General features: G+C 48.8%; 2 annotated features.

Moving 5' to 3' along the window:
* Positions 11438-12082: an enhancer, noted in NCBI's record as "H3K27ac-H3K4me1 hESC enhancer chr12:125198033-125198677 (GRCh37/hg19 assembly coordinates)". NCBI's record gives its function as "activates a minimal SCP1, AML or CMV promoter by ChIP-STARR-seq in naive H9 embryonic stem cells {active_cell/tissue: H9 hESC(naive)}" and the evidence as "EXISTENCE:reporter gene assay evidence [ECO:0000049][PMID:30033119]".
* Positions 12083-12728: an enhancer, noted in NCBI's record as "H3K27ac-H3K4me1 hESC enhancer chr12:125197387-125198032 (GRCh37/hg19 assembly coordinates)". NCBI's record gives its function as "activates a minimal SCP1, AML or CMV promoter by ChIP-STARR-seq in naive H9 embryonic stem cells {active_cell/tissue: H9 hESC(naive)}" and the evidence as "EXISTENCE:reporter gene assay evidence [ECO:0000049][PMID:30033119]".

Here is an 18779-nt window from a genome sequence, read left to right as displayed (position 1 = left end):
GTGTTTGCCTTTGCAAAATAGGCTAACAAGAGGAAGAAAAAAGAAAATGCCCAGCATCCGGGCCCTGGTAATCCCCGGAGAGGTGACGGAGTGCAGGGTTAAGAGAACAGCACGGGCTCTGGACTTGAGTTCCAGCTCCCAGCTAAGCCACTTCCTAGCTGTGCAGCCTTGGACACACTACTTCACCTTTCTGTGCCTCAGTTTCCTAGCCTAGAAAATGAGGATGATAACATTTCTTCACTCATCGGATTATCAGGACTTATCAGTGCCTTTAATATATCAATGAGCATTGTGAATTTCTTCACTTACCGGTTTGTCATGGGGACCAAACGACTACAGACAAACAAAGCCCTCAGAGCAGTGTCAGAAACGTGGTAAGCACTCGGTAAACAGCAGCTGCTGTTTTTACCCAAAGACTGGTAGACAAGGTTACTATTGGCAATGTTTATCGTCTCTCACACTCTCAGCAATTCTCTATAAAATCTCACTGAGGGCCGGGCGCGGTGGCTCACACTTGTAATCCTAGCACTTTGGGAGGCCGAGGCGGGCGGAGGTCGGGAGATCGACACCATCCTGGCTAATACGGTGAAACCCCTGTCTCTACTAAAGATACAAAAAATTAGCCGGTCGAGGTGGCGGGCGCCTGTAGTCTCAGCTGCTTGGGAGGCTGAGGCAGGAGAATGGCGTGAACCCGGGGGGTGGAGCTTGCAGTGAGCCGAGATCACGCCACTGCACTCCAGCCTGGGCGACAGAGCGAGACTCCGTCTCAAAAAAAAAAAAAAAAACTCACTGACGTCCCTCCCAATGTATCTAAGGACCGTTTGCCTCTTGCTGCTCACCCAGCACCAAACAAGTTATCTAACCACCCAGTGCCTCAGTTTCCTCATCTGCAAAATGGGGCGTTAACAGTTCTTACTTCACAGGGTTCTCATTAGGAGGAGTTGAGAAGCCACCAAGCTGCGCTTACATAGCTCGCAACCCATGTTCGTGCAAGGGCTGAGTGCTAGTATTAATAACAGCATTACATTAATAACATTATAATATAGCATATAATATATATAACATAATATTAATAACAACATTATATTAATAATGTGCTATTATTAATAAGAGCATTACTACTCCCAGCGATTGCAGGGAAAAAGCTTGGCGGTGCGTCTAATTCCAGCAGGCACTGGAGCCTGGGGGTCAGTTCCTTCACTCCGTGCTAGAATTTTAGAGAAAACAATAAATTAAAATATACATGCATTGGTAATTCTTAAAAGAGAAAGGAGAAGGTTGGAATTTCACCCAGGAGGCATTTTTAGCAGAAAAGCATCAACTTGAACTTCATGTCTGCCCCTGCCCTGGTTCCTGCAACTTCTTGTCATTAACCAGCCCCTTAAGATCCACCAAAGACTCATTCAATTCCTCGCTTGGTTTTCAGGAGTCAGGTGGGACAGCGAATGGTCCAGGCTTTGGTGTCCTCCAGCCTGGGTCTGAATCTTAGGCTGATTCTGTCAGCAAGGTGACCTTGGGTGAGGCAGTAGAACTCTTGTGCTTCAATGTCCTCATCTGGAAAATGGGGATAACTCTACTTACCCTCCAGTGTCATGGAGTGGGTCAGAACAGTGTTCCTTGGCCAGGTGTGGTAGCTCATGCCTATAGTCCCAGCATTTTGGGAAGGCCGAGGCAGGTGGATCACTTGAGGCCAAGAGTTTGAGACCAGCCTGGCCAACATGATGAAACCCCGTTTCTACTAAAAATACAAAAATTAGCCAGGCATGGTGACATGTGCCTGTAGTCCCAGCTACTCAGAAGGCTGAGGCGTGAGACTGGCTTGAACCTGGGAGGCGGAGGTTGCAGTGAGCCAAGATCACGCCACTGCACTCCAGCCTGGGTGACAGAGTGAGAGTCCATCTCAAAAAAAAAAAAAAAAAAAAGAACAGTGTTCCTCAAAAAGGATTGAAGTGGTATCCCTTGCCCCCCCCCCCCCGCAGGTCTTATCAGTGCCTTTAATACATCAATGTGCATTGTGCATTTACAAGCAGAGGTGTGAACATGCAGTTTTTCATGGAATCTTTTTCATAGAGCATCTGTATGCATCAGTGAGTATGCTGCTGGGCATCCTGGATTAGGGAAGATGACTGCAGGTTCTCAGAGCCTGGAGTCAAATACACTTGACGACATCACCTCTGTAACCCTCATCCTTGCTATTTGCAGTTAGGAGGGAATGGTTATCCTGTGTGGCTGGAAAGAAGATAAAAACTCAACACTTTAAAGACCCAGTCGTACTGGGGACATTGTCAGAACCCAACAAGAAATGGATTGATTCGTAAAGTGTATAAAAGTATTTTGACAAAAACAAAGTTATACCACATGAGGGAAGAGTGAAGAACCCAGAAGAGTGAGTTATTGGGTGAAACAGAAGAGGAATCTACAGAGTAATATTGGTCCTTCCAGTTCTCCCAGAAGACCATCATGTGACTATGGAAACAGAAGGTTCTGTGCCAGGGATCAGCAGAAAGCTATGGGCAAGGTTGGGCAAGTGCACAGATATGACTCAAGGCATTCATTACCCATTGCTATGTAACAAAACGTCACAAAGTTAGCAGCTTAAAATGATACCCAGTTTTATTTATTTATTTATTTATTTATTTATTGAGATGGAGTCTTGCTCTGTCACCAGGCTGGAGTGCAGTGGCGTGATCTTGGCTCACTGCAACCACCAACTCCCTGGTTCAAGCGATTCTCCTGCCTCAGTCTCCCGAGTAGCTGGGATACCCATTTATTATGTAGCAGTTTCTGTGGGTCAGGAGCCTCACATGGCTTAGCTGGTTCCTCTGCAAGGCTGCCATTAAAGTGTTAGCTGGACTGGGTCTCATCTGAAGGCTTGACCAGGGAGGATCTGCTTCAAGCTCACATGGTTGCTAGCAGAATTCAGGTTCTTGTTGCTGTCAATTAGGGGAACCAGTTCTTATGGGCCGAACTGTGCCCCCTCCAAAATTCCTTTGTTGAAGTCCTATGCCCCAGTACCTCAGAATGTGACTGTATTTAGGAATAGGTCTTTGAAGAAGTAATTAAGTTAAAACAAAGTTATTAGGGTGGGCCCAAATCTGCTATGACTATTCTATCAAATAAGATTAGGACATACACAGGAAAGACCACGTAAAGACACAGAGAGAAGATGGCCATCGGCAAGCCGAGGAGAGAGACTTCAGAAGAAAAGAACACTGCCCACGCCTTGATCCAGGGCTTCCAGCCTCTAGAACTGTGAGCAAATAAACGTCTGTTCGGTAAGCCGCCTAGTCTGTGGCACTTGTCACGGCAGTCCTAGCCATCGAATACACCGACCATTCCAGTTTGCTCAGGACTGAGGGGCTCCAGGGATGCCAACCTTTCAACCCTAAAACTAGGATAGTCCTGGATAGACCAGGAGGGAATTTCCAGGGATGTGGGACTCTCCAGTGCTAAAGCTGAAAAAGCCCAGGCAGGCTGGAATGAGTTGGTTACCCTCGCTGTGGGGCTGTAGGGCTCAGATTCTTGCTGGCTTTGGGCCAGAGGCTGCCCCCTCTATTCTTAGCTGGTCATTGGCTGGCGGCCACCCCCAGTTCTCTGTTATGTGGTTCTTCCCACATACCCACTCACTTCATCAGAGCCAGCAAGGGAGAGAGCCTCCTAGCAAGACAGACACTATGATTGTAGGTCCTGCAAGTGACATTCCATCACCTTTGCAAGAAGAAAGCCTCATGTGGGTCTAGTCCACAATCAAGGGGAGGAGATTAATAAGGGCATGAACACCAGGAGGCAGAGGCCACTGGGGCCTCCCTGGAGTCTATCTGCTACTCCATGTCCAGGTTTGCTGATTTTGTCTTTATGATTGTTTAAACAATAATAAAAGCTAACAGTCTGTGGTGGCTGCCATGTGCCAGACAGTACTCCAAGGATTTTAGATGTATTAACTCATTTAATCTGGCCTCAGTCAGGAGAGATTAGGTCTTGCTGCATTAACAAATGACCCCCCAAATTCCAGCTTAACAAACAATAATCACAGTTTATGTGTTGTCCCTCATGGGTGGCACAGATCGCTCTACTCTTGGCAAACTGCAATAGTTGTAGGAAGGGAAGTGAATGAAGTGAATCATGGTGAATTGCGCACTGGCTCTTAAAACATATCTGTTCCATCCGGGTTTCACGCACTGCACCAAGACACGTGACTGCACCTCAATTCAAGGGCTGGAGAACATGCGATTCTTTGTGTGCTGGGAAAGAGAAGAGGAAAGTGAGCAAATGTTTGGGGGAAATTGGAGCAAATCGCTATCCTCACCAGCTGTGTTAGGAACAAGTATTATCCACATTTTTCAGATGAGAAAATCGAGGCCCAGAGAGGTTAGGTAACTTGCTCAAGGACACACAGCTTTTAAGCTGCTAAGCAAGGACATCTGATGTCCTCAAGAAAACCTTCCCATTTCTCATTCATGCTAGGACTGTTTGATGATCTGTTCTGGGACACACACACCACCCTGACTGCAGAGCAGGGTGATGGCTTTGAGTATGTGGCGCTGTAAGGGCCCCCAGCACCCTCCCCTTGTTCCTTCCACAGCTCAGCTGAGATCACTGTGTGATTTCCTGTTAACCTTGTAATAATTTATGGCAAATCTAATGTGCCTGCCGCTGGGTGAGCTCATCCAAATCCCCTTCTATTGTCTGAGCCTCATACCGGGAGATGTCCTCAGAGGCCCCTGGGATCATCGCCGAGTGATTTATGGCGCCAGCTTCCCCGAGGATTGAAGCCAACCCAGTTGGAGGCTCGCCATGCTCAGGAGAGATGGCAGCGAAAGATCTGGTTGGCTGGTTTTATCCCTGGAGGAGAACAAACCTGAGGAGTGAGGATTTTCAGAAGCTCAAGCCAGACAGTGTGTTATATTTTCTGCTGCTGTGTCCTTAGAGAAAAACCTGCTTGGGTTGCAGATGGCTCACGGGCATCTCGAACTTACCATCATGTTTAACATCGACCTCAGGCCTGCTCCTCCACTGCCTGCTTCTCTGGGAATGGTAACCTCATCTCCCTGTTGCTGGACTAAACACCTCAGAGTCATCCGACTGCTTTTTTTCTCTCCTGCCCGTGTCTGACTCATCAGCAAATCCTGCTGTTTTTCTCTTCCAAATACATCCAGAATCTGCGGACTTCTCACCACCTCCACCTCTCCCCACCCCAACCAGGTTCCAGCTGCCATCATTGCTCGCCTGGACAGGTGCAGTAGTCCAGGTCCCTGGTCTCCCAGCTGCCACCCTAACCCCACTGAGGCTATTCCTCACACGGCAGCCAGAGGGAACCTGTTAAATCCCAAGTCAGAGGAGGCTGCTTCTCTGCTCAAACGCCTGCCGTGGCTCCCACTTCCCCCAGAGTAAACACCAAGTCCTTCTGTGGCCTCAAAGCCGCACACACTCTGGCCCTCCTGGAGCATCTGTCCTCTGTGTCCTCATCTCCCACCACTGACCTCTTTGCGCACTTAGCATCAGCCATGCTGGCTTCCTTGCAGTTCCTCAAAGTTGCTACAGGCGTGGTCCGGCCTCCAGACCTCTGTGTTGCCTGTTCCTTCTCCCCTAGATGCCCCATTGCTCGTAACCTTCCCTGTTTCAGGTGCAATGACTCCTTTCTCAGCGAGGCCTTCCCTGCCACTCCACTTAATATTGCACCCCCTTGCATCCCGTCCCCACTGCCCCCGCGTCATTTTCTGACCTTAGCACTTACCAGTGTCTAGCATAGTGCGTGTGTATCAATATTTATTGCATGTTTTCTTCTGCTACTTAAATACCAGCATCATGGGGGCAAGGTTGCTGTCTGTCTTGCTCCCTGCTGTATCCACAGTGCCTAGAACACTGCCTGGCACACAGTAGGCGCTCACTAAACATCTGCTGGATGTGTGCATTCAGCAATGAGTTCAGCACCTACAGTGTGCCCGGGACTCACACAAAACCAAGGCTGGAATCCGAGAAGCAGAGGCAGGCAGCTCAGAGTGCGGGCTCTGAGTGAGACAAACTCGGGTTCACATCCTGACTCTACAACCAATGGCAGACTGTGTGTGACACTGGGCAAGTCGCCTGGCCTCTCTGAGCCTCAAGTTGCCCCATCTGTAGAACAGGATGGTCGTGCTATTTTCCTTGTGGGATCGCTAAGGGGCTTCACAGAGGGGTCTTTGTGCAGCTCTCGAGGCAGCATCTCACATGGGAGGAGGGGCGGATCAAGCATCTGCCATGCTTACAGCTTTTAGTTTATGTTGTTGGAGGAAGACAGAGAAGGGCGTGAATGCACCTGCTCCACCTTCCAGAAGCAGAAGCCCTGCCATCGCTACGCCGTAAAAGCAGATCCTCCAGGAGATGCTCTACGTTGCAGTCAACTTGTCAACAAAATGTCAGGTTCTGTCGCTGTCTAAGTTGACACCTGTGAATTTGCTTTTTAATTTCAGGAGCTTTTGGGGTACATGTGGATTTTGATTACATGGATGAATTGTACAGTGGTGAAGTCTGAGCTTTTAGTGCTCCCGTCTCCCTAGTTGTGTACACTGTACTCCGTGTGTAGATTTTAATCCTCATCCTCCTCCCACCCCCACCCCACGTGACTCCACAGTCCCTCATGTCACATCATATCACACTGTCTCATAGAGGCAATTTATTCCAAGTAATCCATCCCTCCTTAAGACACATTTCAAACTTCATGACCCCTAACAAAAACTTTTAAAGACTCGGGCAAAGAGACTGGTCTGAAAATTTCCTTGCATTCGCTTTCTTGTTCCTGTGCAGAATTATTCCTATTCCCCAACCTCTCCTTCCTTTCAGTGGAAATATAGGCTCCTCTCTAGTCTTTTTTTTTTTTTAACTTTTATTTTAAGTTCAGGGGCGCATGCGCAGGTTTGTTACGTAGGTAGACTTGTGTCATGGGGGTTTGTTGTACAGGTTGCAGGCTGGTGCAAAAGTAATTGCGGTTTTGGACCATGAATTTTAAATCATTATAACTAGGCTCAGATACATCTTTATTAATCAAAATAAGAACGATTACAATCAAGTCATTTTTGCCAAGAAGAAATGTTCATTTATTCCTATAGTGTAAAAATCTGTGCTTTGGGATTCGATGAACTCTTGGAAAGCGCTTTCTGCATCCTGCTGGTTGTGGAAGCGTTCTCCCTGCAAAAAGTTGTCGAGATGCTTGAAGAAGTGGTAGTCGGTTGGGGAGAGGTCAAGTGAATATGGCAGATGAGGCAAAACTTCGTAGCCCAATTAGTTCAACTTTTGAAGCGCTGGTTGTGTGACGTGCAGTCAGGCGTTGTCGTGGAGAAGAATTGGGCCCTTTCTGTTGGCCAATGCCAGCTGCAGGCGCTGCAGTTTTCAATGTGTCTCATCGATCTGCTGAGCATACTTCTCAGATGTAATTGTAATTACACCACTGTACTGTATGTTCGTTAGCAGTTCCAGGGCTAAACGTGTTGTTGATGTTGCGTGTTGTCTCTGCTGCTTTATGACCCATTTTGAACTCGAGTAAGAAAATCACTCAAATTTGCTTTTTGTCTAACATCATTTCCATAGTCTAAAAGAAATATAAACAGCAAGTAATAATAAGTCATTACCCAAAAAAAAGCTAGAAACGTGCATTAAAATGATATATAAAAACCACATTTATTTAAGAATGTATTCCAATACAAAATGGCAAATTTCAACAGTGCAAAAACCACAATTATTTTTGCACCAACCTAGATACTAAGGTACTTAGTACCATAGTACTTAATACCTGGGCACTAAGCCTAGTACCCATTAGTTATTTTTCCTGCTCCTCTCCCTCCTCCTGTCCTCCATCTTCAGGTAGGGCCCGGTGTCTGTTGTTCCCCTCTGTGTGTCCATGTGTTCTCATCATTTAGCTCCCACTTATAAGTGAGAACATGCAGTATTTGGTTTTCTATTCCTGCATTAGTTTGCAAGGGATAATGGCCTCCAGCTCCATCCATGTTCCTGCAGAGGACATGGTTTCATTCTTTTTTTGGTTGCCTAGTGTTCCATGACACCTATCAATTTTGATTTTGCCATTGGCTTTTCTATTTCAGAGGCGTGTCTTCTCTGTTTAAGGCCTTGGTCATGGTTGCAGGCCCTTAAAGCTGGAAAGCTCCAATCGCCGTGCACATGGGGCCAGTGGCGGTGAAGACTGGGATTGGTGCTCAGGGTCCATTGCTTATGTCACAACTGCCCCCTAAGCCCCCTACCTTCTTCACCTCTGCAAGCAAACCTCTCACCACATGGCCTTCGCACCTGCTGAGCCCTCGGCCTAGGATGCTTTTTCCTTCTCTCCACGAGAGTGTTACCACTTGTCCCTCAAATGCCAGCTCCATCGTCATCCTCATGTCCTTGGGGAAGCTCCCTCACCCCCAAGACTGGGTGCGGCCCTCTGTTACAGGCACCCACAGCACAAGCAACTCCTGTTCAGGCCACTGGGCACAGCTGACAGTCATGTGCATGACACCACGTCTCGAGTCCCTCCCCCGACACACCCTGTGGGAGCCAGGAGGGCCGGGACTCATCTGGTTTTGTAACTTACCAGGTGCCAGTTCTGCAGTGCTGGGAGGTGCTCAGTGCACATTAGCAGAATGCGTGAACGAGTGCCCACACCTGGCGTCTAATAAACAATGGCCTCTTCGGGCAAGTGGCACCCATTGGAATGCAGTACGTGAGGGCTCCGTATTGCAGAATTGACCTCATCCTTCCTCCTGCCCTGTGTTTGCACCCTCTCAGTTCCTCCCATTGTGGAGGTGAAGTTTGTTTTTCTACTCCTTGACTTTGGCTTTAACCAAAAGCACGAAGCTGACACGAGTGTGTGCCAGGTCTGAGCATGCGTGTCTAGGGACCTCCATTGACTATGTTTGCTTTTTTGCTCCTCCTCCTTTGCCATAAGGAGAATGTGCTGAGTGGCCACTGGTCCCACAGAGTGGATGAGAGATATGTGGGGCTGAGCCACACCTAGATCAGCCGACCTGCAGCAGCTGGGTGAATCCAGGTGAGGTCAGCAGAGCCCGGCGGGCGAGCCAGCCTAGATCAGCCAGCGCCAGCCGCCCTGCTAACACACCAGCCAGGTACATAGTGATTGTTGTACACGTTGAGGTTCTGTGGTTGGTTGTCAAGCAGCACATAGTAGGTGCTCAATAGATAACTATGGAATGTTTGAGCATACAGCTAGAGCTCCATAAAAGACATCCAGTAAAGCCCCCAGCACTGTGCTGGGCACACGGGAAGTGCTCAAGACACAGTGCTCCCTTCTCCCTGCTTCCTCCTGTCAACAGCAGCAGCAGTAGGTTAGAGAGGCCGATATTTGAGACATTGTGGCAACCTTTACAGTCCACACTCTACTATTCTACGGGACACCCCGAAGCCTCCAGCCACCCCTCGGCAGCCCTTGGTAGAACAGGGTCTATGTCTCTTTCTTGGCCTCTTCTGACCAAGAGTCTTGTTCCTAGTGGTGAAGAAGCTGGGGTCTTTCTGGAGCCACTGCAGACCCCCTAGTCAAGGGTGGCTGCTTTGTCTCTGCAAGAAAGCAGATTGTTCTCTTTGCCGACTCCTGCTGGGATCTTCTCTCTTCCTCTCCTCCCACCTCTTCACAGGCGGAAGCCATAATTATTTCAATGCAACATCCCTGTCATCAGCCAGCACTTTGAGCAGGGGACACAGTCAGCACTGTTTGGGATCCCACACTGTGTGTACACAGTGATTATTCCGGCATCGAGGGCAGATAATGAAACCTGGAGTTGTGTGTCTTGAGACACCTCTGCTCACTACTCACTCTCTAGACACCAAGAAAATTCGACTTCCCGCCACGCCCAGCCGGGCCCTGCAATGGGCTCCCAGCTCCTGTGGGTGCAACATGAGCCTGGTAGCTCCCAGGCAAACGCTGAGCAGCAGGCGAGATCATGGTGGCCGCGGTGGCCACAGTCTGTGAGGTCAGAGCTCCCGTTAGGCGTGGGCTATCTATGGGTTTAATAAGCCAAGGCCTTCAGGGCAGGGCCCACAGAGCAGGAATGTCCTGAGGCTCAATATTCCAGCCATTTGTTCCTGTCTGTTGTCTCTCAAACCAGATCCTCTGCCACTTCTGAAGGTCCCTGCAAAAGAGGCTTCTGCCTCTAACCCTAAGCAGCCAGCCCAAGCCTGCCATGTGGAGAGAAGGGGACAGGGAGGCAGGAGTTGCAATCTGTGCCCCGTGTGCCCCCTGTGCCATCACCCTGTACAATTGTGGCCCAGGCAAAGCTCCTCTCTGTACCTCGGTCCCCTTGTCTCAGGAACAGGATCTCTTTCTTTCTTTCTTTCTTTTTCTTTCTTTCCCTTTCCTTTCCTTTCCTTTCCTTTCCTTTCCTTTCCTTTCCTTTCCTTTCCTTTCCTTTCCTTCCTTTCTTTCTTTCTCTCTTTCTCTCTCTCTTTCTTTCCTTCTTTCTTCCGTCTTTCTTTCTTTGTCTCGGGAACAGGATTTCTTTCTTTCTTTTTTTATTTTATTTATTTATTTTTTTGAGATGGAGTCTCGCTCTTGTTGCCCAGGCTGGAGTGCAGTAGCATGATCTTGGCTCACTGCAAACTCCGCCTCCCGGGTTCAAGTGATTCTCGTGCCTCAGCCTCCTGGGTAGCTGGGATTACAGAAACGCGCCACTACACCCAGCTAATTTTTGTATTTTTAATAGAGACAGGATTTCACCACATCTGCCAGGCTGGTCTCAAACTCCTGATCTCAAGTGATCCACCTGCCTTGGCCTCTCAAAGTGCCGGGATTACAGGTGTGAGCCACCGCGCCCGGCTGAGAACAGGGTTTCGTCTATTTCTCATTAAGTTGCTGATGGCTCCCTTTCAGGATTCACCGCCACAACCAGGCCTCCCTGGCACCTTGTTTTAAATCACAGCCCTCCTGACCTAGATCCAGGGCCCCAGAAGCAGAGCCAGAGAGAGAGGTTTTTACAGGAGAGGGAGGGAGGGCGGCCTCAGCCTGGACCCACGGGGGGCTCTGATATGTGAACTCCACCAGGGTTTGTCCCATCTGTAGCCAGGTGGGTCAGGATGTGTGTGTGTGTGTGTGTGTGTGTGTTTTGTTTTTTGTTTTTTGCATTATTTTTGAGACAGGGTTTCACTCTCTTGCCCAGGCTGGAGTGCAATGGTACCATCACAGCTCACTGCAGCCTCCACCTCCAAGGATCAAGCGATTCTCCTGCCTCAGCCTCCTGAGTAGTTGGGACTACAGGAGTGTACCACTGTGCCTGGCTAATTTTTTTATTTTTTGTAGAGACTAGGTCTCACTATGTTGCCCAGGCTGGTCTTTAACTCCTGGCCTCAAGCAATCTTCCTGCTTTGGCCTCCCAAACTGCCAGGATTACAGGCGTGAGCCACTGCATCCAGCCTTGCTTTATTTTCAATTGTGGTAAAATACACATAACATAAAATGTACCACTTTAGCCATTTTTAAAGGTACAATTCAGTGGTATTAAGGACATTCACAGTGTTGCTTGACCATCACCACTCTCCTGTTCTGAAAGGTTTTCATCACTCCAAGCAGACTCTGTCCCCATTAAGCAATAACTGTCATTCCCGTCCCCCAGCCCCTGGTAAGCGCTAACGTACTGTCTGTCTCTGTGAATCCGCCTGCTCTAGGCACTTTATTTAACCGGAATCATGCATCTGGCTACTTTCACTTAGCATCGTGTCTTCAAAGTTCATTTACGTTAGAGCCTGAGTCAGAATTTCCTTCCTTCCCGCCGCACTTTCATTTTGAATAGACTTTACTTTTCAGAGCAAGTTGAGTTCACAGGAGTGGCATTCCTCTTCACGGCTCAACAATATCCCCTGCATGGAGGCGCCCCTCGTGTTATTTGTCATCTCCTGATGGGCACTTGGGCTGTTCCTACCTTTTGGCCATTGTGACTGGTGCTGCTGTGAATGCCTGTGCACCAGAATCTTTCCTAGTCCTTCCTCTCAGGGGGCCAGGCTTCTGCCCTCCCCTCCGTCCTGCTCCCCGTGTCAGTCTGTTTTGGTCACTGGCTGTGGCCTGGGAGACACTCCCACTTGGATGAAGGCAGTCACCCCCGGCGGTGCTCAGGGTGGAAGGGGGCCAGCAGGGGAATCCGGGTGGTGCCAGGAGTGCCCTGCATCTCCCCGTTCCTCCTGCCTTCCCTGCTTTGCTACCCCCAGTACTTCTCACCTTCTGACACCCCCGGCATGTGCTGACTTCTTGGGCTTCTTGTCTACTTCCCCCTAGAAAGCACCCAAGGCCTGGGGCTGTGCCTGTTTTGTCACGGCTGGACCCACCCTTCCTGATACACAGTCAGGCTCAACAAATATGCATGGGATGAATGACTAGCACGCGCGCACACACGATCTCTTGGAATTCTCGCCGAAACTGTGATGTCACTGCTGCCGTCATCCCCATTCTACAGAGAAGGAAATGGAGGCTCAGGAACGTTGAGTGAATTCCCCAAGGTCACAGAGCTTGCGAGCGGCAGAGCAGAGACAGGGGTGCAGAGCTGCCCCACGCCTAGCACTTCCCAGCCGGAAGGCTTGGCCTGTCTACATGATGAGCTGGACACCTGTCAAACACATGTCACTCACACTAATTCGACTCTGCGTCTTTGGAGAGAGAGAAACTTCGATACCCAGCCAATGGCCAGGCCATTGCGCTCAACTAGTGAGGGTGAGGACCTAAGTGTGCAGTTTCCACAATTGCGTCCCTTCTCTCGTGCCCCTCTTTTTTATAATAAAAAATAATTTTAAATCCCAGCACTTTGGGAGGTTGAGGCAGGCAGATCACTTGAGGTTAGGAGTTTGAGTTCATCCTGGCCAACATGGTGAAACCCCATCTCTACTAAAAATACAAAAATTAGCTGGGCATTGGTGGCGGACGCCTGTAATCTCGCTACTCAGGAGGCTGAGACAGAAGAATCACTTGAACCCGGGAGGCAGACATGGCAGTGAGCTGAGATCGCAACACTGCACTCCAGCCTGGGTGACAGAGTGAGATTCTGTTTCAAAAAAAAATTTTTTTTTTAATTTAATTTTTTAGATACAGGGTCTCACTGTCACCCTGCCTGGAGTGCAGTGGCATGATCGTAGCTCACAGCAGCCTCGAACTCCTGGGTTCAAGCTATCCTCAGCCTCTCAAGTAGCTGGGACCACAGGTTTGTGCCGCTATGCCCAGCTAATTAATTAATTTTTTTTTGTAGGGACAGGGGTCTCACTATGTTGCCCAGGCTGGTCTTGAACTCCTGGCCTCAAGTGATCTTCCCACCTGTCAGCCTCCCAAAGTGCTGGGACTACAGGCTTGAGCTACCGCACCCAGCTAATTCACGCCCCTCTTAATGCGAGCATCTCAACACGCTGACGGAGACCCTAGCTGCCAAAGTTACACATTGAGAAAAAATCTACGTGCTGGGCGAGGTGGCTCACGCCTGTAAGCCTAGCACTTTGGGAGGCCGAGGAAGGTGGATCACCTGAGGCCAGGAGTACTAGACCAGCCTGGCCAACATGGCAAAACCCCATCTCTATTAGAAATACAAAATTTAGCCAGGCATGGTGACGGGCGCCTGTAATCCCAGCTAGTTGGGAGGCTGAGGCAGGAAAATCGCTTGAAGCCTGGAGACGGAGTTTGCAGTAAGTCGAGATCGCGCCACTGCACTCCAGCCTGGGCAACAGAGCGAAACTCTGTCTTTAAAAAAAAAAAAAAAAAAAACACGACAGAGGAACAATGCGTGGAATGTATGGATGCATGGTAAGCTGCAGAAATCTTCCGTGAGTGATGGATTGTGACAGACGTCTGCACATTTCCACCTTGGCGTTAGTACTCAGACCAGGACGTGGAAGGTTCCTATCATCCAAGAGTTCCCTTGTGCCCCATCCTCCAGGGGTAACCATGATAGAGGCTCTATCCCCACAGACCCTCTCTGCTGTTCCAGAGCCTCACACAGTGCGTGAACTCTCACCCCTCGGTGTCTGGCCTCATCTGCATATCCTCCAGTGAGGGTTGCTCTCGCTGTCCGGAAGCTGCAGCTCGTGCTTGCTAATTTCTGTGCAGTTTTCAATTACATGAATAGGTCGTCGTTTGTTTTTCATTCTAGAGCTGACGGATGTTTGGATTGTTTTCAGTGTGGGGCTATTACAGATCGAGGTGGTGTAGAGGTTCTTATCCATGTCCTCTGATGAACGGATACCCCCATTTTTCTTGGGAGTGTATCTGGGAATGGGATTACTGGACCACAGAGTAGTCATGTTCTTGGATTCAGTAGCTGGCGACAATTTTCCAAAATGATTGTAACAATTTACTCTCCCACCTTTAAATCCTCATCAACACTTGATATTGCCAATTAAAGTTACTTTTTTTTTTTTTTGAGGCAAGGTCTTGCTCTGTTGCCCAGGCTGGAGTGCAGTGGCACGATCATAGCTCACTGCAGCCTCGAATTCGTGTATTCAAGTGATCCTCCCACCACAGCCTCCTGAGTAGCTGGGACTAGGTGTGTGCTACTATTCCCAGCTAATTAAGTTTTTTTTTTTTTTTTTTTTTTAGAGATGGGGGTTTTACTATGTTTGCCAGGCTGATCTTGAACCCCTGGCCTCAAGCAATCCTCCTGCCTTGGCCTCCCAAAATGCTGGGATTACAGGAGTGAGCCACCACGCCCAGCCTAAAGTTACGTATTTTTGATACAATATGTGCAATGGACTGAATGTTTGTGCAACCCCTCACAACAAATTCATATGTTGAGACCCTGGCCCCGATGTGATGGCCTTAGAGGGTGGGGCCTTTGAGGGGTGGTTAGGTCGTGAGAGTAGATCTCTCACGATGGGACCAGTCCCTTATAAAAGGGACCCCAGAGAGCTCTCTAAGCCCTTTTTCTGCCCTGGGAGGACACAAGGAGCTAGCAGCTGTCTTTGACAGCTCTGGGGCTTTGGCCAGGTTTCTCAGCCTCTCTGAACTTCAGTCCTAAAATGGGATAATGGCCTCCTGGGCTGTGGCGGGGATTAAGTGAGCTAGCTGGTGTAAAGCGCTTAGAACAGGCCCTAGTGCATAGCTCCTGCTCAGTAAGTGCTTGCTGTTTATTTTCCTTCCACGAGCACCTGGGATGGGGGTGGTGTCCTCAGTACTTGTCAGCAAATAGCAGTGCATTGCAGTATGAACCTGACTGGCCCTGCGACTCTAAGGATGAGGGCATCTGGTGTTAACTAAAATAACCCTCAGGCCCAGTGCAATGGCTCACGCCTGTAATCCCAGCACTATGGGAGACCGAGGCAGGAAGATTGTTTGGGGCCAGGAGTTCAAGACCAGCCTGGCCAACATAGTGGGACCTTGTCTCTCCAAAAAATTAAAAAATTAGCCAGGTGTGGTGGTGTGTGCCTATAGTCCCATCTATTCTACTTGGGATGCTGAGATGGGAAGATCCCTTGGGCCCAAGAGTTCAAGGCTGCAGTGAGCTGTGATTGCGCCACTGCACTCCAGCCTGGGCAACAGAGTGAAAAAAAAAATCTTAATAAAAGATTTTAAAGAGAGTCATCCTCACAAAATGGACATGTGGCTTAAAAATCCCCCTGTAGGGGGAAGACTAGCCGAGTAAGAAGAAAACAGCTAAGGAATGTAGAAGCCATGTCCACAATTTACAAGTTAGAAATATTTATATCATGAGCATCAGTGCTCAAAATTTATTATTAAGGTCACAGGATACACTCAGAAGTGTCTGGAATGTTCTGGTTTGGCTGACCTGTGGAGGAAGATGGGGTCATAGAACCTAGCTCTCCCAGGACTGGTTAGAGCTGTGTTCCCAGCTGGTAGTTAGTGTTCCCTGGGTGGTACTCAGGACAATTTTAACTGGTGCACCGTTCAACTTTTGTCTTTTAATTTCCGTAGTCACACATTTATTGTAATATGTGCTAGAAAAAGATAAAATAGCACATCTGTCTTTAGGCAATATTGGTGGTAAAAAAAAAAATCTCCCTAAAGACACAGGGACTTCCAGGGGGTCTGGTTGTCCTAGATAAATTGTGAAGTGATAATGTCAGCCAGGTATCAGCAAATATTTGAAAGAATGAGTTTAACCCGTTAGAACGAGAAAGTGGTTTTTTACTGCATGATCTATTGTTGATGAAGACAACTGTGGAAGGACTGGGACATGCACAGGAGTGAGGAGGGAGGGACGGAGGGGAGGGATGCTGTGTGTGCGTGCAAAGAGGCGAATCTTAGCTGGTTCTGTGAACTTTTGTTTCTTTTTCCTTTTTCTTTTTTGAGACAGAGTCTCACTCCATCACCCAGGATGGAGTGCAATGGCGCAACCTCGGCTCACTGCAACCTCCACCTCCTAGGTTCAAGTGATTCTCCTGCCTCAGCCTCCCGAGTAGCTGGGATTATAGGTGCACATCACCACGCCCGGCTAATTTTTGTATTTTTAATAGAGACAAGGTTTCTCCATGTTGGACAGGCTGGTTTCAAACTCCTGTCCTCAAAGTGATCTTCCTGCCTCAGCCTCCCAAAGTGCTCACCATGTCCGACCCTGTGACTTTTTGTTTCTCTAGAATGAGAGACCTCAAGGAAATTTGGCGGAATGTTAATATCCGTTTAATCCAGGTGGTTGGATATGTGCAATCAGTTTCATTATTAACTGCACACTTTGTGTGTTTGAAATAATTTTTAATTTAAAAGCTATTGAGGAAGTGGGTTTAGAACAGGAGTGATGTAATAACTGAAGGGGTCTAGTTTGTTATTTGGATTATTTCTCCTCAAAGTGGGTAACGCTTGAAAGGTAAGAGGGATTGGAATCACACCGTTTGGACACACACATGTTCAGAATACACAAGCAGAAGGGTCCCTTTGTCAGCCCAGGCACCTCCTCTGTGATCAGCGCTCCAGCCTTGGTATCACCCCTGTAAAAGGCCGCTTTCTCCCAACCAGAACAAGGTAACTTAGAGGCTGCCCCACGTCCCAGGAATCCTTGATTGATTAGAAACTTTGCAGCCATCATGAGTTTGGAGGACATTTGGCAGTGAATGACACAGAACCCAAAATAATGGTGGTTTAAATAAGTTATGAGTTTCCTTCCCACAGAGAGACAAAATCCAGAGGGAGTCATCATTTCCATCTCGTGGCCTAAAATGGCCATTCCAGCAGGGCGCGGTGGCTCATGCCTGTAATCCCAGAGCTTTGGGAGGCGGAGGTGGGAGAGTCACTTGAGCTCAGGAGTTCCAGACCAGCCTGGGCAAAATAACGAGACACTGTCTTTACAAAAAATGTTTAAAAATTAGCTGGGTGTGGTGGCACACACCTGTAGTCCCAGCTACTCGAGAGGCTGAAGCAGGAGGATTGCTTGAGCCCTGGAGGTAGAGGCTGCAGTGAGCTATGATCACGCCACTGTACTCCAGCCTGGGCAACAGAGTAAGACTCTGTCTCAAATAAATAAATAAATAAATAAATAAAATGGCTGCTCCAGCTCCAGCCATCACATCTGAATTCTGGCCAGCAGAAAGGAGGAGGGCTGGGAGTGGATGGCTCTCCCTCCCTTTAAGGACACTTTTACTTCCATGCTGGTATGGGCACGGCCATATGGGCATGGCATTGGCCATATCTAGCTGCAAGGGAGGCTGGGAAATGCATTGTTAGTCTTGTCGCCGGAGTGCCCAGCTAAAAGCCAGCGTTTCTAGTACTAAGGGAGAAGGGGTGGTTGGTGATTGGACTACAGCAATCTCTGCTTACAGTGCTGTGGGGGTGGGGAGCCCTCCTCCCGAGGAAGGTCTCAGCGTGTTGCCGTTCCACCACGTTCCCACCACCCTGGAGCTCAGTGGAGGATCTGGGGCCTATGACCGTAAAGTTTCATTAGGGCAAGTCTGCTTCGCCCAGCACATGGCCCTCTGCTAGGACTAGGACAGTCTTCGGAAAGATTCACGAGATGAAAGGAAGGTGGTACTTGGGGGAGACCACTGAGTTGGGGAGCAGGGGTGACAGTCACAGGCTTGGAGCCCAGTGGCTGGGTCCCAGCTGTGCCCCGTGCTAATCACTCTCAGAGCTGTTGCTCGGAGGAAGTCATGACGCCTCTGCTAAAAGTTGCAGCTGCCCCAAAGGGTGGCCAAGAGGTTAGGCCTATGCCTAGCTCAGCTCCGTCCTCAATAAACACTGTGGAGAGGCAGCAAAACTCCCACCGAAGACTGAAGCTGCCCTCCTCTCTCAAGACAACTACGAAACCACTGTTTCACAGGATCCAGCACTTAGGACATCAGTGAATGAGACCTCCCTCCCTCCCTTCCTTCCTTCCCTCTTTCCTCTCCACCTTCCCTCCCTCCCTCCCTTCCTCCTACCCTTCCTCCCTCCTTTTCTGTTTCTTAACCTTTTTTTTTTTTTTTTTTTGAGACAGAGTCTGGCTCTGTTGCCCAGGCTGGAGTGCAGTGGCGTGATCTCGGCTCACTGCAACCTCCGCCTCCCGGGTCTAATCTCTTGCTTCAGCCTCCTGAGTAGCTGGGATTACAGGTGTGCACCACCACACCCGACTAATTTTTATATTTTTAGTAGAGACAGGGTTTCACCATGTTGGCCAGGCTCTTCTCAAACTCCTGGCCTCAAGTGATCTGCCCACCTTGGCCTCCCAAAGTTCTGGGATTACAGGCGCCTGGCCTATTTCTTAACTTTCTTATTTCTGCTGAAACATCTATCTGTCTGTATCTATCTATCTATCTATCTATCTATCTATCTATCTATCTATCTATCATCTATTTCTCAGAGTATAAAGGGAACTGATCTGAAATGTACAGCTTGATGTGATTTCCAT

The sequence above is a fragment of the Homo sapiens genome, chromosome 12 (genome assembly GCF_000001405.40).
Source record: "Homo sapiens chromosome 12, GRCh38.p14 Primary Assembly".
Lineage (NCBI taxonomy): Eukaryota > Metazoa > Chordata > Mammalia > Primates > Hominidae > Homo > Homo sapiens.
Note: the sequence above shows the minus strand (reverse complement) of the source record. Positions and strands in the feature narration are given on the sequence as shown.